Source organism: Homo sapiens, chromosome Y, assembly GCF_000001405.40.
Source record: "Homo sapiens chromosome Y, GRCh38.p14 Primary Assembly".
In the NCBI taxonomy this organism is placed as follows: Eukaryota; Metazoa; Chordata; class Mammalia; order Primates; family Hominidae; genus Homo; species Homo sapiens.
Window position 1 is genome coordinate 23,233,740 of NC_000024.10, and position 23,724 is coordinate 23,257,463.

A 23,724-nucleotide genomic window follows, 5' to 3' on the forward strand; every position below is an offset into this window, starting at 1 on the left:
TTTGTTGATATTTTCCATGTACTTGAAACTTGTATGGTATACCTCTTCTTTTTCCTTCTCTGAACAATGGCTAGAAAAAAAGTCCTACTTTTTTCTGTCATTTACTGTGAGGCATCACTGATTCTGGGTGTATTCATGTATGCTGCTACCTGTATGTTTTCAAACAATAAGAATTTATTGAAACATGTAAGACATTATACTTTCTCTTCTCCAGTATTGGATCATAGACTGCACTTAGTTTTTCGTAATGAAGTACAGACAAAGCCATAACATCTGTCGAACTACATATTACCCTATAATATTGTCTGATACAAAACAGTCTAGAAATATTCTTACAGAGAAATTGCAAATGTATTAATTTAACTTACCTTGCAATCTCTCTTAATGGAGCCTTACCACCAGTGTAAGAAATAACGTCTGGGTGTGAATAAGTACACAGTATAAGGTAAACTTTGGTGAAGTAGTCAATTCTTTTGTCATTTGTTCCCCCTTCACACCCATAGTGTAGCACTTGACCTAGAATCTTTCTTTCTTCATAAAGTCAGTCATTCATTTGGAATTCTGCATTGTTGTACGTAGAAAAAGGATATTTTACCTTTTGTAATATTTTTGTTATATTGGGAATTATATTTCTTTGTAATTTTAAAAAGTGGTTTACCATATTCATTTTTTTCTGCAACCTTTCTTTTCAGCCATTTCCTGCTTATCCAAGATCACCATTTCAGGTCACTGCTGGATATCAGTTGCCTGTATATAATTATCAGGTAATGTAAGAAGGAGTAAAATGATTTACTTTCAGGTATTACTGAGGCATTCAACTTGTTTATACAAATTTCCTGAATAGTTGGTCATTTTAAATTAGTGAAGTGTACCTAAAATTTAAGGAAACACGTAGAAGTAGTGTAGAATGAAGACCTCTGTCTTATTTAGAAGTAATGAAGTAGTATTTTGAGAGGAATATACTTGGCAATAACTTTTCTGTAGAAGAGATTTCTGAGATGTGGTGTTCTCTTCTTTATTTCTGGATGCAGTTTTCATCTTTACTGTGAAATAGCTGAATGAAACATCCAAACTGACTTTCATGAATTTTCTTAGGGAGATAGAGTGAAATAAATTTATGCTGCACTTTTCAGAGCACAGAATCCCAATTACATTTTCATTTTAGCTGGCTGTTTGAAGATAGTAATGCTCTGGATCTCTTTTCATAGATACAAGTATATCTATGACCCATAATTACATCTATGGTAAGAAACTGAAAGAGGTAGTATCTTTGAGGTTTCCACCTTGCCAACTCCCGAAAATTTGGAGAAAGGTGAAGTTTCCAATATAAAAGTAACAAGAATGTCATGGACTAGAAACATAAAGTACTTAAGTTTTCCTTTCTGTTACTTTTATTATAATGAAAAAGGAGACAGCCGGATAAGTACTTCAATGTTGTATTTCTCATGTGTTTTTGAAAATGTGTAGGAATACATATAATAGTTTCGGTGTCCTTTTTTTTTCTTTCTTTTTCTTTCTTTTTTTTTTTTAAGATGCCACCATAAGGTCCTGTTGGGGAGCAAAGGATTATGTTGTCCTTGACGTTAAGTGAATTAGCCAAACATAGATTTTCTGTTCATTCTTGATTTTTTTCCATGTCATATATGCCTATAAATATTTTTAAGTGATTCTTTATATTAATTTTTTTGTTGTTGTTACTTTCTTGTTAACCCGATTATAAACTCCCATGGGAGCAAGAGTGCCTTTTTTGCCCTCAGGTTTTTATGTGGTTAAGCAATGGCAGGTCCATATAATGACAGACTATATAATCAAAGAAAGGTAGTGTTCATGTGACTTTACAATTAGCATGTATCTGCATAGAATCTGCCTCTGGCTTTACCAGCAATAGAATATTTATAGAAGAGAAACAGAAATGCTTTGCTGTTAATGACGCTTAAATGAGAATAGGAGTAAACGAGAGTATTACCGCCAAATCACCGGAGCTGCTTTCCCCCTTATAACCAGTTCCTAAAGTGAATGAAAGCAGCTCCCCTTATGTGTCTGCCTACTTTATTCTTTGGTAAGTTTAGCAGTTCATCTAGCTATTCTTTATTTGAAATGATTTCCGGATGCCTCCTCATATAAATTGCTGACTTCTGGAAATATTCTTCTTCTGGAATGGGTAGATTTCTGATGTGGTTTAGTATATATATAAACCCCGTGAGCTTCTGGCGTCTAATTTCTCTGATTCTGGTTACACTGATATTTAAAGTAGGGTTTGACATACTCCATCACTTAATGTTGATAACTAACCTTTATATTCTTCTTAGTTCGTTTTATTTATGTGTTAGCTTAAAAGACATTTTCTTTGATGGAAAATGAAGTAACAAAATAATAGTGAAATAGTTCTGCGGTTGTCTCTAATTTCGTGATATTTTCCATGTACTTGAAACATGTATGGTATACCTCTTCTTTTTCCTTCTCTGAACAATGGCTAGAAAAAAAGCCTTACTTGTTTCTGTCATTTACTGTGAGCGATTACTGAATCTGGGTGTATTCATGTATGCTGCTACCTGTATGTTTTCAGATAATAAAAATTTTTTGAAACATATAAGACATTATACTTTCTCTTGTCCAGTATTGGATTATAGACTGCACTTAGTTTTTCGTAATGAAGTACAGACAAAGCCATAACATCTGTCAAACTATATATTGTCCTATAATATTGTCTGATACAAAACAGTCTAGAAATATTCTGACAGGGAAATAGCAAATGTATTAATTTAACTTACCTTGCAATCTCTCTTAATGGAGCCTTACCACCAGTGTAAGAAATAACTTCTGGGTGTGAATAAGTACACAGTATAAGGTAAACTTTGGTGAAATAGTCAATTCTTTTGTCATTAGTTCCCCCTTCACTCCCAAAGTGTAGCACTTGTCATAGAATCTTTCTTTCTTCATAAAGTCAGTCATTCATTTAGAATTCTGCATTATTGTATGTAGAAAAACAATATTTTACCTATTTTTGTTATATTCAGAATTATATTTCTTTCTAATTTTAAAAAAATGGTTTACCGTATTCATTTTTTTCTGGAACCTTTCTTTTCAGGCATTTCCTGCTTATCCAAATTCACCATTTCAAGTCGCCACTGGATATCAGTTCCCTGTATACAATTATCAGGTAATGTCAGAGGGAGTAAAATGATTTGCTTTTAGGTATTATTGAGGCCTTTAACTTGTTCATACAAATTTCCTGAATAGTTGCTCATTTTAAACTAGTGAATTGTACCTAAAATTTAAGGAAACACTTAGTGTAGAATGAAGACCTCTGTGTTATTTAGAATAATGAGGTAGTATTTTGACAGGAATATACTTGGCAATAACTTTTCTGTAGAACAGATTTCTGAGATTTGGTGTTCTCTTCTTCATTTCTGGATGTAGTTTTCATCTTTACTGTCAAATAGCTAAATGAAACGTCCAAAGTGTCTTTCATGAATTTTCTTAGGGAGATAGACTGAAATAAAATTATGCTGCACTTTTCAGAGCACAGAATCCCAATTACATTTTCATTTTAGCTGGCTGTTTGAAGATAGTAATGCTCTGGATCTCTTTTCATAGATACAAGTGTATCTGTGACCCATAATTATATCTATGGTAATAAACTGAAAGAGCTAGTATCTTTGAGGTTTCCACATTGCGAAATCCCGAAAATGTGGAGAGAGCTGAAGTTTCCAATGTAAAAGTAACAAGAATGTCATGGACTAGAAACATAAAGTATTTGAGTTTTCCTTTCTGTTACTTTTATTACAATAAAAAAGGAGACAGCAGGATAAGTACTTTAATATTGTGTTTCTCATGTGTTTTTGAAAATGTGTAGCAATACTTCAATAGTTTTGGTTTCCTTTTATTTATTGATTGATTTTTTAAGATTCCACCTTAGGGGCCTGTTGGGTAGCAAAGGGATTATGTTGTCCTTGACGTTAAGGGAATTAGCCAAACATAGACTTCCTGTTCATTCTTGATTTTTTTCCATGTCATATATGCCTACAAATATTTTTAAGTGATTTTTATGTTAATTTTTTTTTGTTGTTGTTTCCTTCTTGTTAACCCGATTATAAACTCCCATGGCAGCAACAGTGCCTTTTTTGTCCTCAGGTTTTTATGTGCTTAAGCAATGGCAGGTCTACATAATGATAGACTATATAATCAAAGAAAGGGAGTATTCACGTGACTTTAGAATTAGCATGTGTCTGCATAGAATATGCCTCTGGCTTTACCAGCAGTAGAAAATTTATAGAAGAGAAACAGAAATGCTTTGCTGTTAATGACGCCTAAATAAGAAGAGGAGTAAAGGAGAGTATTACCTCCAAATCACCGGAGCTGCTTTCCCCCTTATAAGCAGTTCCTAAAGTGAATGAAAGCAGCTCTCCTTATGTGTCTGCCTACTTTATTCTTCGGTAAGTTTAGCAGTTCATCTAGCTATCCTTTATTTGAAATGATTTCCAGATGCCTCCTCATATAAATTGCTGACTTCTGGATATTTCCTGGTTCTGGAATGGGTAGATTTCTGATGTGGTTTAGTATATATATGTAAACCCCGTGAGCTTCTGGCATCTAATTTCTCTGATCCTGGTTACATTGATATTTAAAGTAGGGTTTGACATACTCTGTCACCTACTGTTGATAAATAACGTTTATATTCTTCTTAGTTCATTTTATTGACGTGTTAGCTTTAAAGACATTTTCTTTGACGGAAAATGAAGTAACAAAATAATAGTGAAATAGTTATGCAGTGTCTCTAATTTGTTGATATTTTCCATGTACTTGAAACTTGTATGGTATACCTCTTCTTTTTCCTTCTCTGAACAATGGCTAGAAAAAAAGTCCTACTTTTTTCTGTCATTTACTGTGAGGCATCACTGATTCTGGGTGTATTCATGTATGCTGCTACCTGTATGTTTTCAAACAATAAGAATTTATTGAAACATGTAAGACATTATACTTTCTCTTCTCCAGTATTGGATCATAGACTGCACTTAGTTTTTCGTAATGAAGTACAGACAAAGCCATAACATCTGTCGAACTACATATTACCCTATAATATTGTCTGATACAAAACAGTCTAGAAATATTCTTACAGAGAAATTGCAAATGTATTAATTTAACTTACCTTGCAATCTCTCTTAATGGAGCCTTACCACCAGTGTAAGAAATAACGTCTGGGTGTGAATAAGTACACAGTATAAGGTAAACTTTGGTGAAGTAGTCAATTTTGTCATTTGTTCCCCCTTCACACCCATAGTGTAGCACTTGACCTAGAATCTTTCTTTCTTCATAAAGTCAGTCATTCATTTGGAATTCTGCATTGTTGTACGTAGAAAAAGGATATTTTACCTTTTGTAATATTTTTGTTATATTGGGAATTATATTTCTTTGTAATTTTAAAAAGTGGTTTACCATATTCATTTTTTTCTGCAACCTTTCTTTTCAGCCATTTCCTGCTTATCCAAGTTCACCATTTCAGGTCACTGCTGGATATCAGTTGCCTGTATATAATTATCAGGTAATGTAAGAAGGAGTAAAATGATTTACTTTCAGGTATTATTGAGGCATTCAACTTGTTTATACAAATTTCCTGAATAGCTGGTCATTTTAAATTAGTGAAGTGTACCTAAAATTTAAGGAAACACGTAGAAGTAGTGTAGAATGAAGACCTCTGTCTTATTTAGAAGTAATGAAGTAGTATTTTGAGAGGAATATACTTGGCAATAACTTTTCTGTAGAAGAGATTTCTGAGATGTGGTGTTCTCTTCTTTATTTCTGGATGCAGTTTTCATCTTTACTGTGAAATAGCTGAATGAAACATCCAAACTGACTTTCATGAATTTTCTTAGGGAGATAGAGTGAAATAAATTTATGCTGCACTTTTCAGAGCACAGAATCCCAATTACATTTTCATTTTAGCTGGCTGTTTGAAGATAGTAATGCTCTGGATCTCTTTTCATAGATACAAGTATATCTATGACCCATAATTACATCTATGGTAAGAAACTGAAAGAGGTAGTATCTTTGAGGTTTCCACCTTGCCAACTCCCGAAAATTTGGAGAAAGGTGAAGTTTCCAATATAAAAGTAACAAGAATGTCATGGACTAGAAACATAAAGTACTTAAGTTTTCCTTTCTGTTACTTTTATTATAATGAAAAAGGAGACAGCCGGATAAGTACTTCAATGTTGTATTTCTCATGTGTTTTTGAAAATGTGTAGGAATACATATAATAGTTTCGGTGTCCTTTTTTTTTCTTTCTTTTTCTTTCTTTTTTTTTTTTAAGATGCCACCATAAGGTCCTGTTGGGGAGCAAAGGATTATGTTGTCCTTGACGTTAAGTGAATTAGCCAAACATAGATTTCCTGTTCATTCTTGATTTTTTTCCATGTCATATATGCCTATAAATATTTTTAAGTGATTCTTTATATTAATTTTTTTGTTGTTGTTACTTTCTTGTTAACCCGATTATAAACTCCCATGGGAGCAAGAGTGCCTTTTTTGCCCTCAGGTTTTTATGTGGTTAAGCAATGGCAGGTCCATATAATGACAGACTATATAATCAAAGAAAGGTAGTGTTCATGTGACTTTACAATTAGCATGTATCTGCATAGAATCTGCCTCTGGCTTTACCAGCAATAGAATATTTATAGAAGAGAAACAGAAATGCTTTGCTGTTAATGACGCTTAAATGAGAATAGGAGTAAACGAGAGTATTACCGCCAAATCACCGGAGCTGCTTTCCCCCTTATAACCAGTTCCTAAAGTGAATGAAAGCAGCTCCCCTTATGTGTCTGCCTACTTTATTCTTTGGTAAGTTTAGCAGTTCATCTAGCTATTCTTTATTTGAAATGATTTCCGGATGCCTCCTCATATAAATTGCTGACTTCTGGAAATATTCTTCTTCTGGAATGGGTAGATTTCTGATGTGGTTTAGTATATATATAAACCCCGTGAGCTTCTGGCGTCTAATTTCTCTGATTCTGGTTACACTGATATTTAAAGTAGGGTTTGACATACTCCATCACTTAATGTTGATAACTAACCTTTATATTCTTCTTAGTTCGTTTTATTTATGTGTTAGCTTAAAAGACATTTTCTTTGATGGAAAATGAAGTAACAAAATAATAGTGAAATAGTTCTGCGGTTGTCTCTAATTTCGTGATATTTTCCATGTACTTGAAACATGTATGGTATACCTCTTCTTTTTCCTTCTCTGAACAATGGCTAGAAAAAAAGCCTTACTTGTTTCTGTCATTTACTGTGAGCGATTACTGAATCTGGGTGTATTCATGTATGCTGCTACCTGTATGTTTTCAGATAATAAAAATTTTTTGAAACATATAAGACATTATACTTTCTCTTGTCCAGTATTGGATTATAGACTGCACTTAGTTTTTCGTAATGAAGTACAGACAAAGCCATAACATCTGTCAAACTATATATTGTCCTATAATATTGTCTGATACAAAACAGTCTAGAAATATTCTGACAGGGAAATAGCAAATGTATTAATTTAACTTACCTTGCAATCTCTCTTAATGGAGCCTTACCACCAGTGTAAGAAATAACTTCTGGGTGTGAATAAGTACACAGTATAAGGTAAACTTTGGTGAAATAGTCAATTCTTTTGTCATTAGTTCCCCCTTCACTCCCAAAGTGTAGCACTTGTCATAGAATCTTTCTTTCTTCATAAAGTCAGTCATTCATTTAGAATTCTGCATTATTGTATGTAGAAAAACAATATTTTACCTATTTTTGTTATATTCAGAATTATATTTCTTTCTAATTTTAAAAAAATGGTTTACCGTATTCATTTTTTTCTGGAACCTTTCTTTTCAGGCATTTCCTGCTTATCCAAATTCACCATTTCAAGTCGCCACTGGATATCAGTTCCCTGTATACAATTATCAGGTAATGTCAGAGGGAGTAAAATGATTTGCTTTTAGGTATTATTGAGGCCTTTAACTTGTTCATACAAATTTCCTGAATAGTTGCTCATTTTAAACTAGTGAATTGTACCTAAAATTTAAGGAAACACTTAGTGTAGAATGAAGACCTCTGTGTTATTTAGAATAATGAGGTAGTATTTTGACAGGAATATACTTGGCAATAACTTTTCTGTAGAACAGATTTCTGAGATTTGGTGTTCTCTTCTTCATTTCTGGATGTAGTTTTCATCTTTACTGTCAAATAGCTAAATGAAACGTCCAAAGTGTCTTTCATGAATTTTCTTAGGGAGATAGACTGAAATAAAATTATGCTGCACTTTTCAGAGCACAGAATCCCAATTACATTTTCATTTTAGCTGGCTGTTTGACGATAGTAATGCTCTGGATCTCTTTTCATAGATACAAGTGTATCTGTGACCCATAATTATATCTACGGTAATAAACTGAAAGAGCTAGTATCTTTGAGGTTTCCACATTGCGAAATCCCGAAAATGTGGAGAGAGCTGAAGTTTCCAATGTAAAAGTAACAAGAATGTCATGGACTAGAAACATAAAGTATTTGAGTTTTCCTTTCTGTTACTTTTATTACAATAAAAAAGGAGACAGCAGGATAAGTACTTTAATATTGTGTTTCTCATGTGTTTTTGAAAATGTGTAGTAATACTTCAATAGTTTTGGTTTCCTTTTATTTATTAATTGATTTTTTAAGATTCCACCTTAGGGGCCTGTTGGGTAGCAAAGGGATTATGTTGTCCTTGACATTAAGGGAATTAGCCAAACATAGACTTCCTGTTCATTCTTGATTTTTTTCCATGTCATATATGCCTACAAATATTTTTAAGTGACTTTTTATGTTAATGTTTTTTTTGTTGTTGTTTCCTTCTTGTTAACCCGATTATAAACTCCCATGGCAGCAACAGTGCCTTTTTTGTCCTCAGGTTTTTATGTGCTTAAGCAATGGCAGGTCTACATAATGATAGACTATATAATCAAAGAAAGGGAGTATTCACGTGACTTTAGAATTAGCATGTGTCTGCATAGAATATGCCTCTGGCTTTACCAGCAGTAGAAAATTTATAGAAGAGAAACAGAAATGCTTTGCTGTTAATGACGCCTAAATAAGAAGAGGAGTAAAGGAGAGTATTACCTCCAAATCACCGGAGCTGCTTTCCCCCTTATAAGCAGTTCCTAAAGTGAATGAAAGCAGCTCTCCTTATGTGTCTGCCTACTTTATTCTTCGGTAAGTTTAGCAGTTCATCTAGCTATCCTTTATTTGAAATGATTTCCAGATGCCTCCTCATATAAATTGCTGACTTCTGGATATTTCCTGGTTCTGGAATGGGTAGATTTCTGATGTGGTTTAGTATATATATGTAAACCCCGTGAGCTTCTGGCATCTAATTTCTCTGATCCTGGTTACATTGATATTTAAAGTAGGGTTTGACATACTCTGTCACCTACTGTTGATAAATAACGTTTATATTCTTCTTAGTTCATTTTATTGACGTGTTAGCTTTAAAGACATTTTCTTTGACGGAAAATGAAGTAACAAAATAATAGTGAAATAGTTATGCAGTGTCTCTAATTTGTTGATATTTTCCATGTACTTGAAACTTGTATGGTATACCTCTTCTTTTTCCTTCTCTGAACAATGGCTAGAAAAAAAGTCCTACTTTTTTCTGTCATTTACTGTGAGGCATCACTGATTCTGGGTGTATTCATGTATGCTGCTACCTGTATGTTTTCAAACAATAAGAATTTATTGAAACATGTAAGACATTATACTTTCTCTTCTCCAGTATTGGATCATAGACTGCACTTAGTTTTTCGTAATGAAGTACAGACAAAGCCATAACATCTGTCGAACTACATATTACCCTATAATATTGTCTGATACAAAACAGTCTAGAAATATTCTTACAGAGAAATTGCAAATGTATTAATTTAACTTACCTTGCAATCTCTCTTAATGGAGCCTTACCACCAGTGTAAGAAATAACGTCTGGGTGTGAATAAGTACACAGTATAAGGTAAACTTTGGTGAAGTAGTCAATTTTGTCATTTGTTCCCCCTTCACACCCATAGTGTAGCACTTGACCTAGAATCTTTCTTTCTTCATAAAGTCAGTCATTCATTTGGAATTCTGCATTGTTGTACGTAGAAAAAGGATATTTTACCTTTTGTAATATTTTTGTTATATTGGGAATTATATTTCTTTGTAATTTTAAAAAGTGGTTTACCATATTCATTTTTTTCTGCAACCTTTCTTTTCAGCCATTTCCTGCTTATCCAAGTTCACCATTTCAGGTCACTGCTGGATATCAGTTGCCTGTATATAATTATCAGGTAATGTAAGAAGGAGTAAAATGATTTACTTTCAGGTATTATTGAGGCATTCAACTTGTTTATACAAATTTCCTGAATAGCTGGTCATTTTAAATTAGTGAAGTGTACCTAAAATTTAAGGAAACACGTAGAAGTAGTGTAGAATGAAGACCTCTGTCTTATTTAGAAGTAATGAAGTAGTATTTTGAGAGGAATATACTTGGCAATAACTTTTCTGTAGAAGAGATTTCTGAGATGTGGTGTTCTCTTCTTTATTTCTGGATGCAGTTTTCATCTTTACTGTGAAATAGCTGAATGAAACATCCAAACTGACTTTCATGAATTTTCTTAGGGAGATAGAGTGAAATAAATTTATGCTGCACTTTTCAGAGCACAGAATCCCAATTACATTTTCATTTTAGCTGGCTGTTTGAAGATAGTAATGCTCTGGATCTCTTTTCATAGATACAAGTATATCTATGACCCATAATTACATCTATGGTAAGAAACTGAAAGAGGTAGTATCTTTGAGGTTTCCACCTTGCCAACTCCCGAAAATTTGGAGAAAGGTGAAGTTTCCAATATAAAAGTAACAAGAATGTCATGGACTAGAAACATAAAGTACTTAAGTTTTCCTTTCTGTTACTTTTATTATAATGAAAAAGGAGACAGCCGGATAAGTACTTCAATGTTGTATTTCTCATGTGTTTTTGAAAATGTGTAGGAATACATATAATAGTTTCGGTGTCCTTTTTTTTTCTTTCTTTTTCTTTCTTTTTTTTTTTTAAGATGCCACCATAAGGTCCTGTTGGGGAGCAAAGGATTATGTTGTCCTTGACGTTAAGTGAATTAGCCAAACATAGATTTCCTGTTCATTCTTGATTTTTTTCCATGTCATATATGCCTATAAATATTTTTAAGTGATTCTTTATATTAATTTTTTTGTTGTTGTTACTTTCTTGTTAACCCGATTATAAACTCCCATGGGAGCAAGAGTGCCTTTTTTGCCCTCAGGTTTTTATGTGGTTAAGCAATGGCAGGTCCATATAATGACAGACTATATAATCAAAGAAAGGTAGTGTTCATGTGACTTTACAATTAGCATGTATCTGCATAGAATCTGCCTCTGGCTTTACCAGCAATAGAATATTTATAGAAGAGAAACAGAAATGCTTTGCTGTTAATGACGCTTAAATGAGAATAGGAGTAAACGAGAGTATTACCGCCAAATCACCGGAGCTGCTTTCCCCCTTATAACCAGTTCCTAAAGTGAATGAAAGCAGCTCCCCTTATGTGTCTGCCTACTTTATTCTTTGGTAAGTTTAGCAGTTCATCTAGCTATTCTTTATTTGAAATGATTTCCGGATGCCTCCTCATATAAATTGCTGACTTCTGGAAATATTCTTCTTCTGGAATGGGTAGATTTCTGATGTGGTTTAGTATATATATAAACCCCGTGAGCTTCTGGCGTCTAATTTCTCTGATTCTGGTTACACTGATATTTAAAGTAGGGTTTGACATACTCCATCACTTAATGTTGATAACTAACCTTTATATTCTTCTTAGTTCGTTTTATTTATGTGTTAGCTTAAAAGACATTTTCTTTGATGGAAAATGAAGTAACAAAATAATAGTGAAATAGTTCTGCGGTTGTCTCTAATTTCGTGATATTTTCCATGTACTTGAAACATGTATGGTATACCTCTTCTTTTTCCTTCTCTGAACAATGGCTAGAAAAAAAGCCTTACTTGTTTCTGTCATTTACTGTGAGCGATTACTGAATCTGGGTGTATTCATGTATGCTGCTACCTGTATGTTTTCAGATAATAAAAATTTTTTGAAACATATAAGACATTATACTTTCTCTTGTCCAGTATTGGATTATAGACTGCACTTAGTTTTTCGTAATGAAGTACAGACAAAGCCATAACATCTGTCAAACTATATATTGTCCTATAATATTGTCTGATACAAAACAGTCTAGAAATATTCTGACAGGGAAATAGCAAATGTATTAATTTAACTTACCTTGCAATCTCTCTTAATGGAGCCTTACCACCAGTGTAAGAAATAACTTCTGGGTGTGAATAAGTACACAGTATAAGGTAAACTTTGGTGAAATAGTCAATTCTTTTGTCATTAGTTCCCCCTTCACTCCCAAAGTGTAGCACTTGTCATAGAATCTTTCTTTCTTCATAAAGTCAGTCATTCATTTAGAATTCTGCATTATTGTATGTAGAAAAACAATATTTTACCTATTTTTGTTATATTCAGAATTATATTTCTTTCTAATTTTAAAAAAATGGTTTACCGTATTCATTTTTTTCTGGAACCTTTCTTTTCAGGCATTTCCTGCTTATCCAAATTCACCATTTCAAGTCGCCACTGGATATCAGTTCCCTGTATACAATTATCAGGTAATGTCAGAGGGAGTAAAATGATTTGCTTTTAGGTATTATTGAGGCCTTTAACTTGTTCATACAAATTTCCTGAATAGTTGCTCATTTTAAACTAGTGAATTGTACCTAAAATTTAAGGAAACACTTAGTGTAGAATGAAGACCTCTGTGTTATTTAGAATAATGAGGTAGTATTTTGACAGGAATATACTTGGCAATAACTTTTCTGTAGAACAGATTTCTGAGATTTGGTGTTCTCTTCTTCATTTCTGGATGTAGTTTTCATCTTTACTGTCAAATAGCTAAATGAAACGTCCAAAGTGTCTTTCATGAATTTTCTTAGGGAGATAGACTGAAATAAAATTATGCTGCACTTTTCAGAGCACAGAATCCCAATTACATTTTCATTTTAGCTGGCTGTTTGACGATAGTAATGCTCTGGATCTCTTTTCATAGATACAAGTGTATCTGTGACCCATAATTATATCTACGGTAATAAACTGAAAGAGCTAGTATCTTTGAGGTTTCCACATTGCGAAATCCCGAAAATGTGGAGAGAGCTGAAGTTTCCAATGTAAAAGTAACAAGAATGTCATGGACTAGAAACATAAAGTATTTGAGTTTTCCTTTCTGTTACTTTTATTACAATAAAAAAGGAGACAGCAGGATAAGTACTTTAATATTGTGTTTCTCATGTGTTTTTGAAAATGTGTAGTAATACTTCAATAGTTTTGGTTTCCTTTTATTTATTAATTGATTTTTTAAGATTCCACCTTAGGGGCCTGTTGGGTAGCAAAGGGATTATGTTGTCCTTGACATTAAGGGAATTAGCCAAACATAGACTTCCTGTTCATTCTTGATTTTTTTCCATGTCATATATGCCTACAAATATTTTTAAGTGACTTTTTATGTTAATGTTTTTTTTGTTGTTGTTTCCTTCTTGTTAACCCGATTATAAACTCCCATGGCAGCAACAGTGCCTTTTTTGTCCTCAGGTTTTTATGTGCTTAAGCAATGGCAGGTCTACATAATGATAGACTATATAATCAAAGAAAGGGAGTATTCACGTGACTTTAGAATTAGCATGTGTCTGCACAGAATATGCCTCTGGCTTTACCAGCAGTAGAAAATTTATAGAAGAGAAACAGAAATGCTTTGCTGTTAATGACGCCTAAATAAGAATAGGAGTAAAGGAGAGTATTACCTCCAACTCACCGGAGCTGCTTTCCCCCTTATAAGCAGTTCCTAAAGTGAATGAAAGCAGCTCTCCTTATGTGTCTGCCTACTTTATTCTTCGGTAAGTTTAGCAGTTTATCTAGCTATCCTTTATTTGAAATGATTGCCACATGCCTCCTCATATAAATGGCTGACTTCTGGATATATTCTGGTTCTGGAATGGGCAGATTTCTGACGTGGTTTAGTATATATATATAAACCCGGTGAGTTTCTGGCATGTAATTTCTCTGATCGTGGTTACATTGATATTTAAAGTAGGGTTTGACATAGTGTGTCACTTACTGTTGATAAATATCGTTTATTTTCTTCTTAGTTCATTTCATTGATGTGTTAGCTTAAAAGACATTTTCTTTGACAGAAAATGAAGTAATGAAATAATAGTGAAATCGTTCTGCTGTGTCTCTAATTTGTTGATATTTTCCATGTACTTGAAACATGTATGGTATACCTCTTCTTTTTCCTTCTCTGAACCATGGCTAGAAAAAAAGCCCTACTTGTTTCTCTCGTTTACTGTGAGGCATTAGTGATTCTGGGTGTATTCATGTATGCTGCTAACTGTATGTTTTCAAACAATAAGAATTTGTTGAAACATGTCAGACATTATACTTTTTATTCTCCAGTATTGGAATATAGACTGCAATTAGTTTTTTGGAATGAAATACAGACAAAGCCATAACATCTATAGAACTACATATTACCCTACAATATTGTCTGATACAAAACAGTCTGGAAATATTCTTACAGCGAAATTGCAAATGTATTGATTTACCTTACATTGCAATCTGTCTTAGTGGAACCTTATCACCAGTGTAAGACATAATTTCTGGGTGTGAATAAGTACACAGTATAAGGTAAATTTTGGTGAAGTAGTCAGTTCTTTGTCATTTGTTCCCCCTTCACACCCAAAGTGTAGCACTTGACATAGAATCTTTCTTTCCTCATAAAGTCATTCATTTGGAATTCTGCATTGTTGTATGTAGAAAAAGGATATTTTCCGTTTTGTAATATTTTTCTTATATTGGGAATTATATTTCTTTCTAATTTTAAAATGTGGTTTACCATATTCATTTTTTCTGCAACCTTTTCAGGCATTTCCTGCTTATCCAAATTCACCAGTTCAGGTCACCACTGGATATCAGTTGCCTGTATACAATTATCAGGTAATGTAAGAGGTAGTAAAATGGTTTGCTTTCAGGTATTATTGAGGCCTTTAACTTGTTTATAGAAATTTCCTGAATAGTTGGTCATTTTTAACTAGTGAAGTGTCCCTAAAATTTAAGGAAAGACTTAGTGTAGAATGAAGACCTCTGTCTTATTTAGAAGTAATGAAGTAATATTTTTACAGGAATATCCTTGGCAATAACATTTGTGTAGAAGAGATTTCTGAGATTTGGTGTCCCCTTCTTCATTTGTGGATATAGTTTTCATCTTTGCTGTCAAATAGCTGAATGAAACATCCAAACTGACTTTCATGAATTTTTTTAGGGAGATAGAGTGAAATAAAATTATGATCCACTTTTCAGAGCACAGAATTCCAATTATATTTTCATTTTAGCTGGCTGTTTGACGGTAGTCATTCTCAGGATCTCTTCTCATAGATACAAGTATATCTATGACCCATAACTATATCTATGGTAATAAACTGAAAGAGCTAGTATTTTTGAGGTTTCCACATTGCCAACTCCCAAAAATTTGGAGAAAGGTGAAGATTCAAATTTAAAGTAACAAGAATGTCATGGACAAGAAACATAAAGTACTTAAGTTTTCCTTTCTGTTACTTTTATTATAATAAAAAAGGAGACAGCGGAATAAGTACTTCAATACTGTGTTTCTCATGTGTGTTTGAAAATATGTAGGAATAGTTTAATAGTTTTGGTTTCCTTTTTTTTTTTTTTTTTTTTAAAGATGCCACCTTAGGGGCCTGTTGGGGAGCAAAGGGATTATGTTGTCCTTGACGTTAAGGGAATTAGCCAAACATAGACTTCCTGTTCATTCTTGATTTTTTTCCATGTCCTATATGCCTATAAATATTTTTAAGTGATTCTTTATATTAATTTTTTTGTCGTTGTTACTTTCTTGTTAACCCGATTATGAACTCCCATGGGAGCAAGAGTGCCTTTTTTGCCCTCAGGTTTTTATGTGCCTAAGCAATGGCAGGTCCACATAATGATAGACTATATAATCACAGAAAAGTAGTATTCACTTGACTTTAGAATTATCACGTATCTGCCAATAATCTGCCTCTGGCTTTACCAGCAATAGAAAATTTATAGAAGAGAAACAGAATTGCTTTGCTGTTAATGACGCTTAAATAAGAACAGGAGTGAACGAGAGTATTACCTCCAAATCACCGGAGCTGCTTTCCCCCTTATAAGCAGTTCCTAAAGTGAATGAAAGCAGCTCTCCTTATGTGTCTGCCTACTTTATTCTTCGGTAAGTTTAGCAGTTCATCTAGCTATCCTTTATTTGAAATGATTTCCAGATGCCTCCTCATATAAATTGCTGACTTCTGGATATTTCCTGGTTCTGGAATGGGTAGATTTCTGATGTGGTTTAGTATATATATGTAAACCCCGTGAGCTTCTGGCATCTAATTTCTCTGATCCTGGTTACATTGATATTTAAAGTAGGGTTTGACATACTCTGTCACCTACTGTTGATAAATAACGTTTATATTCTTCTTAGTTCATTTTATTGACGTGTTAGCTTTAAAGACATTTTCTTTGACGGAAAATGAAGTAACAAAATAATAGTGAAATAGTTATGCAGTGTCTCTAATTTGTTGATATTTTCCATGTACTTGAAACTTGTATGGTATACCTCTTCTTTTTCCTTCTCTGAACAATGGCTAGAAAAAAAGTCCTACTTTTTTCTGTCATTTACTGTGAGGCATCACTGATTCTGGGTGTATTCATGTATGCTGCTACCTGTATGTTTTCAAACAATAAGAATTTATTGAAACATGTAAGACATTATACTTTCTCTTCTCCAGTATTGGATCATAGACTGCACTTAGTTTTTCGTAATGAAGTACAGACAAAGCCATAACATCTGTCGAACTACATATTACCCTATAATATTGTCTGATACAAAACAGTCTAGAAATATTCTTACAGAGAAATTGCAAATGTATTAATTTAACTTACCTTGCAATCTCTCTTAATGGAGCCTTACCACCAGTGTAAGAAATAACGTCTGGGTGTGAATAAGTACACAGTATAAGGTAAACTTTGGTGAAGTAGTCAATTCTTTTGTCATTTGTTCCCCCTTCACACCCATAGTGTAGCACTTGACCTAGAATCTTTCTTTCTTCATAAAGTCAGTCATTCATTTGGAATTCTGCATTGTTGTACGTAGAAAAAGGATATTTTACCTTTTGTAATATTTTTGTTATATTGGGAATTATATTTCTTTGTAATTTTAAAAAGTGGTTTACCATATTCATTTTTTTCTGCAACCTTTCTTTTCAGCCATTTCCTGCTTATCCAAGATCACCATTTCAGGTCACTGCTGGATATCAGTTGCCTGTATATAATTATCAGGTAATGTAAGAAGGAGTAAAATGATTTACTTTCAGGTATTACTGAGGCATTCAACTTGTTTATACAAATTTCCTGAATAGTTGGTCATTTTAAATTAGTGAAGTGTACCTAAAATTTAAGGAAACACGTAGAAGTAGTGTAGAATGAAGACCTCTGTCTTATTTAGAAGTAATGAAGTAGTATTTTGAGAGGAATATACTTGGCAATAACTTTTCTGTAGAAGAGATTTCTGAGATGTGGTGTTCTCTTCTTTATTTCTGGATGCAGTTTTCATCTTTACTGTGAAATAGCTGAATGAAACATCCAAACTGACTTTCATGAATTTTCTTAGGGAGATAGAGTGAAATAAATTTATGCTGCACTTTTCAGAGCACAGAATCCCAATTACATTTTCATTTTAGCTGGCTGTTTGAAGATAGTAATGCTCTGGATCTCTTTTCATAGATACAAGTATATCTATGACCCATAATTACATCTATGGTAAGAAACTGAAAGAGGTAGTATCTTTGAGGTTTCCACCTTGCCAACTCCCGAAAATTTGGAGAAAGGTGAAGTTTCCAATATAAAAGTAACAAGAATGTCATGGACTAGAAACATAAAGTACTTAAGTTTTCCTTTCTGTTACTTTTATTATAATGAAAAAGGAGACAGCCGGATAAGTACTTCAATGTTGTATTTCTCATGTGTTTTTGAAAATGTGTAGGAATACATATAATAGTTTCGGTGTCCTTTTTTTTTCTTTCTTTTTCTTTCTTTTTTTTTTTTAAGATGCCACCATAAGGTCCTGTTGGGGAGCAAAGGATTATGTTGTCCTTGACGTTAAGTGAATTAGCCAAACATAGATTTCCTGTTCATTCTTGATTTTTTTCCATGTCATATATGCCTATAAATATTTTTAAGTGATTCTTTATATTAATTTTTTTGTTGTTGTTACTTTCTTGTTAACCCGATTATAAACTCCCATGGGAGCAAGAGTGCCTTTTTTGCCCTCAGGTTTTTATGTGGTTAAGCAATGGCAGGTCCATATAATGACAGACTATATAATCAAAGAAAGGTAGTGTTCATGTGACTTTACAATTAGCATGTATCTGCATAGAATCTGCCTCTGGCTTTACCAGCAATAGAATATTTATAGAAGAGAAACAGAAATGCTTTGCTGTTAATGACGCTTAAATGAGAATAGGAGTAAACGAGAGTATTACCGCCAAATCACCGGAGCTGCTTTCCCCCTTATAACCAGTTCCTAAAGTGAATGAAAGCAGCTCCCCTTATGTGTCTGCCTACTTTATTCTTTGGTAAGTTTAGCAGTTCATCTAGCTATTCTTTATTTGAAATGATTTCCGGATGCCTCCTCATATAAATTGCTGACTTCTGGAAATATTCTTCTTCTGGAATGGGTAGATTTCTGATGTGGTTTAGTATATATATAAACCCCGTGAGCTTCTGGCGTCTAATTTCTCTGATTCTGGTTACACTGATATTTAAAGTAGGGTTTGACATACTCCATCACTTAATGTTGATAACTAACCTTTATATTCTTCTTAGTTCGTTTTATTTATGTGTTAGCTTAAAAGACATTTTCTTTGATGGAAAATGAAGTAACAAAATAATAGTGAAATAGTTCTGCGGTTGTCTCTAATTTCGTGATATTTTCCATGTACTTGAAACATGTATGGTATACCTCTTCTTTTTCCTTCTCTGAACAATGGCTAGAAAAAAAGCCTTACTTGTTTCTGTCATTTACTGTGAGCGATTACTGAATCTGGGTGTATTCATGTATGCTGCTACCTGTATGTTTTCAGATAATAAAAATTTTTTGAAACATATAAGACATTATACTTTCTCTTGTCCAGTATTGGATTATAGACTGCACTTAGTTTTTCGTAATGAAGTACAGACAAAGCCATAACATCTGTCAAACTATATATTGTCCTATAATATTGTCTGATACAAAACAGTCTAGAAATATTCTGACAGGGAAATAGCAAATGTATTAATTTAACTTACCTTGCAATCTCTCTTAATGGAGCCTTACCACCAGTGTAAGAAATAACTTCTGGGTGTGAATAAGTACACAGTATAAGGTAAACTTTGGTGAAATAGTCAATTCTTTTGTCATTAGTTCCCCCTTCACTCCCAAAGTGTAGCACTTGTCATAGAATCTTTCTTTCTTCATAAAGTCAGTCATTCATTTAGAATTCTGCATTATTGTATGTAGAAAAACAATATTTTACCTATTTTTGTTATATTCAGAATTATATTTCTTTCTAATTTTAAAAAAATGGTTTACCGTATTCATTTTTTTCTGGAACCTTTCTTTTCAGGCATTTCCTGCTTATCCAAATTCACCATTTCAAGTCGCCACTGGATATCAGTTCCCTGTATACAATTATCAGGTAATGTCAGAGGGAGTAAAATGATTTGCTTTTAGGTATTATTGAGGCCTTTAACTTGTTCATACAAATTTCCTGAATAGTTGCTCATTTTAAACTAGTGAATTGTACCTAAAATTTAAGGAAACACTTAGTGTAGAATGAAGACCTCTGTGTTATTTAGAATAATGAGGTAGTATTTTGACAGGAATATACTTGGCAATAACTTTTCTGTAGAACAGATTTCTGAGATTTGGTGTTCTCTTCTTCATTTCTGGATGTAGTTTTCATCTTTACTGTCAAATAGCTAAATGAAACGTCCAAAGTGTCTTTCATGAATTTTCTTAGGGAGATAGACTGAAATAAAATTATGCTGCACTTTTCAGAGCACAGAATCCCAATTACATTTTCATTTTAGCTGGCTGTTTGACGATAGTAATGCTCTGGATCTCTTTTCATAGATACAAGTGTATCTGTGACCCATAATTATATCTACGGTAATAAACTGAAAGAGCTAGTATCTTTGAGGTTTCCACATTGCGAAATCCCGAAAATGTGGAGAGAGCTGAAGTTTCCAATGTAAAAGTAACAAGAATGTCATGGACTAGAAACATAAAGTATTTGAGTTTTCCTTTCTGTTACTTTTATTACAATAAAAAAGGAGACAGCAGGATAAGTACTTTAATATTGTGTTTCTCATGTGTTTTTGAAAATGTGTAGTAATACTTCAATAGTTTTGGTTTCCTTTTATTTATTAATTGATTTTTTAAGATTCCACCTTAGGGGCCTGTTGGGTAGCAAAGGGATTATGTTGTCCTTGACATTAAGGGAATTAGCCAAACATAGACTTCCTGTTCATTCTTGATTTTTTTCCATGTCATATATGCCTACAAATATTTTTAAGTGACTTTTTATGTTAATGTTTTTTTTGTTGTTGTTTCCTTCTTGTTAACCCGATTATAAACTCCCATGGCAGCAACAGTGCCTTTTTTGTCCTCAGGTTTTTATGTGCTTAAGCAATGGCAGGTCTACATAATGATAGACTATATAATCAAAGAAAGGGAGTATTCACGTGACTTTAGAATTAGCATGTGTCTGCACAGAATATGCCTCTGGCTTTACCAGCAGTAGAAAATTTATAGAAGAGAAACAGAAATGCTTTGCTGTTAATGACGCCTAAATAAGAATAGGAGTAAAGGAGAGTATTACCTCCAACTCACCGGAGCTGCTTTCCCCCTTATAAGCAGTTCCTAAAGTGAATGAAAGCAGCTCTCCTTATGTGTCTGCCTACTTTATTCTTCGGTAAGTTTAGCAGTTTATCTAGCTATCCTTTATTTGAAATGATTGCCACATGCCTCCTCATATAAATGGCTGACTTCTGGATATATTCTGGTTCTGGAATGGGCAGATTTCTGACGTGGTTTAGTATATATATATAAACCCGGTGAGTTTCTGGCATGTAATTTCTCTGATCGTGGTTACATTGATATTTAAAGTAGGGTTTGACATAGTGTGTCACTTACTGTTGATAAATATCGTTTATTTTCTTCTTAGTTCATTTCATTGATGTGTTAGCTTAAAAGACATTTTCTTTGACAGAAAATGAAGTAATGAAATAATAGTGAAATCGTTCTGCTGTGTCTCTAATTTGTTGATATTTTCCATGTACTTGAAACATGTATGGTATACCTCTTCTTTTTCCTTCTCTGAACCATGGCTAGAAAAAAAGCCCTACTTGTTTCTCTCGTTTACTGTGAGGCATTAGTGATTCTGGGTGTATTCATGTATGCTGCTAACTGTATGTTTTCAAACAATAAGAATTTGTTGAAACATGTCAGACATTATACTTTTTATTCTCCAGTATTGGAATATAGACTGCAATTAGTTTTTTGGAATGAAATACAGACAAAGCCATAACATCTATAGAACTACATATTACCCTACAATATTGTCTGATACAAAACAGTCTGGAAATATTCTTACAGCGAAATTGCAAATGTATTGATTTACCTTACATTGCAATCTGTCTTAGTGGAACCTTATCACCAGTGTAAGACATAATTTCTGGGTGTGAATAAGTACACAGTATAAGGTAAATTTTGGTGAAGTAGTCAGTTCTTTGTCATTTGTTCCCCCTTCACACCCAAAGTGTAGCACTTGACATAGAATCTTTCTTTCCTCATAAAGTCATTCATTTGGAATTCTGCATTGTTGTATGTAGAAAAAGGATATTTTCCGTTTTGTAATATTTTTCTTATATTGGGAATTATATTTCTTTCTAATTTTAAAATGTGGTTTACCATATTCATTTTTTCTGCAACCTTTTCAGGCATTTCCTGCTTATCCAAATTCACCAGTTCAGGTCACCACTGGATATCAGTTGCCTGTATACAATTATCAGGTAATGTAAGAGGTAGTAAAATGGTTTGCTTTCAGGTATTATTGAGGCCTTTAACTTGTTTATAGAAATTTCCTGAATAGTTGGTCATTTTTAACTAGTGAAGTGTCCCTAAAATTTAAGGAAAGACTTAGTGTAGAATGAAGACCTCTGTCTTATTTAGAAGTAATGAAGTAATATTTTTACAGGAATATCCTTGGCAATAACATTTGTGTAGAAGAGATTTCTGAGATTTGGTGTCCCCTTCTTCATTTGTGGATATAGTTTTCATCTTTGCTGTCAAATAGCTGAATGAAACATCCAAACTGACTTTCATGAATTTTTTTAGGGAGATAGAGTGAAATAAAATTATGATCCACTTTTCAGAGCACAGAATTCCAATTATATTTTCATTTTAGCTGGCTGTTTGACGGTAGTCATTCTCAGGATCTCTTCTCATAGATACAAGTATATCTATGACCCATAACTATATCTATGGTAATAAACTGAAAGAGCTAGTATTTTTGAGGTTTCCACATTGCCAACTCCCAAAAATTTGGAGAAAGGTGAAGATTCAAATTTAAAGTAACAAGAATGTCATGGACAAGAAACATAAAGTACTTAAGTTTTCCTTTCTGTTACTTTTATTATAATAAAAAAGGAGACAGCGGAATAAGTACTTCAATACTGTGTTTCTCATGTGTGTTTGAAAATATGTAGGAATAGTTTAATAGTTTTGGTTTCCTTTTTTTTTTTTTTTTTTTTAAAGATGCCACCTTAGGGGCCTGTTGGGGAGCAAAGGGATTATGTTGTCCTTGACGTTAAGGGAATTAGCCAAACATAGACTTCCTGTTCATTCTTGATTTTTTTTCCATGTCATATATGCCTATAAATATTTTTAAGTGACTCTTTATATTAATGTTTGTTGTTGTTGTTGTTACTTTCTTGTTAACCCGAGTATAAACTCCCATGGCAGCAACAGTGCCTTTTTTGCCCTCAGGGTTTTATGTGCTTAAGCAATGGCAGCTCCACATAATGATAGACTATATAATCAAAGAAAGGTAATATTCACGTGACTTTAGAATTAGCATGTAGCTGCATAGAATCTGCCTCTGGCTTTACCAGCAGTAGTAAATTTATAGAAGAGAAACAGAAATGCTTTGCTGTTAATTATGCTTAAATAAGAATAGAAGTAAAGGAGAGTATTACCTGCAAATCACCAGAGCAGCTTTCCCCCGTATAAGCAGTTCCTAAAGTGAATGAAAGCAGCTCTCCTTATGTGTCTGCCTACTTTATTCTTCCGTAAGTTTAGCAATTCATCTAGCTATCCTTTATTTGAAATGATTTCCAGATGCCTCCTCATATAAATTGCTGACTTCTGGATATATTCTGGTTCTGGAATGGGTAGATTTCTGATGTGATTTAGTATATATATATAAACCGCTTGAGTTTCTGGCATCTAATTTCTCTGATCCTGGTGACATTGATATTTAAAGTA

The 23,724-nt window shown here is 33.3% G+C and overlaps 1 protein-coding gene across 7 annotated transcripts in view; it reads left to right on the top strand.

Moving 5' to 3' along the window:
• DAZ2 (deleted in azoospermia 2) overlaps nt 1-23,724 on the top strand; it is a 71,900-nt gene that overhangs the window by 14,283 nt on the left and 33,893 nt on the right. Inside the window, exons 9-18 of one of the 7 annotated variants that reach the window (NM_001389303.1) lie at nt 693-764; nt 3,089-3,160; nt 5,471-5,542; nt 7,867-7,938; nt 10,251-10,322; nt 12,647-12,718; nt 15,024-15,095; nt 17,406-17,477; nt 19,802-19,873; nt 22,179-22,250. In NM_001389303.1, the coding sequence (NP_001376232.1) occupies nt 693-764; nt 3,089-3,160; nt 5,471-5,542; nt 7,867-7,938; nt 10,251-10,322; nt 12,647-12,718; nt 15,024-15,095; nt 17,406-17,477; nt 19,802-19,873; nt 22,179-22,250 (720 nt within the window). The remainder of the gene's footprint in view (nt 1-692; nt 765-3,088; nt 3,161-5,470; nt 5,543-7,866; nt 7,939-10,250; nt 10,323-12,646; nt 12,719-15,023; nt 15,096-17,405; nt 17,478-19,801; nt 19,874-22,178; nt 22,251-23,724) is intronic. The other 6 variants (NM_001388494.1, NM_001388495.1, NM_001388493.1 and 3 more) reach the window with 6 other exon arrangements.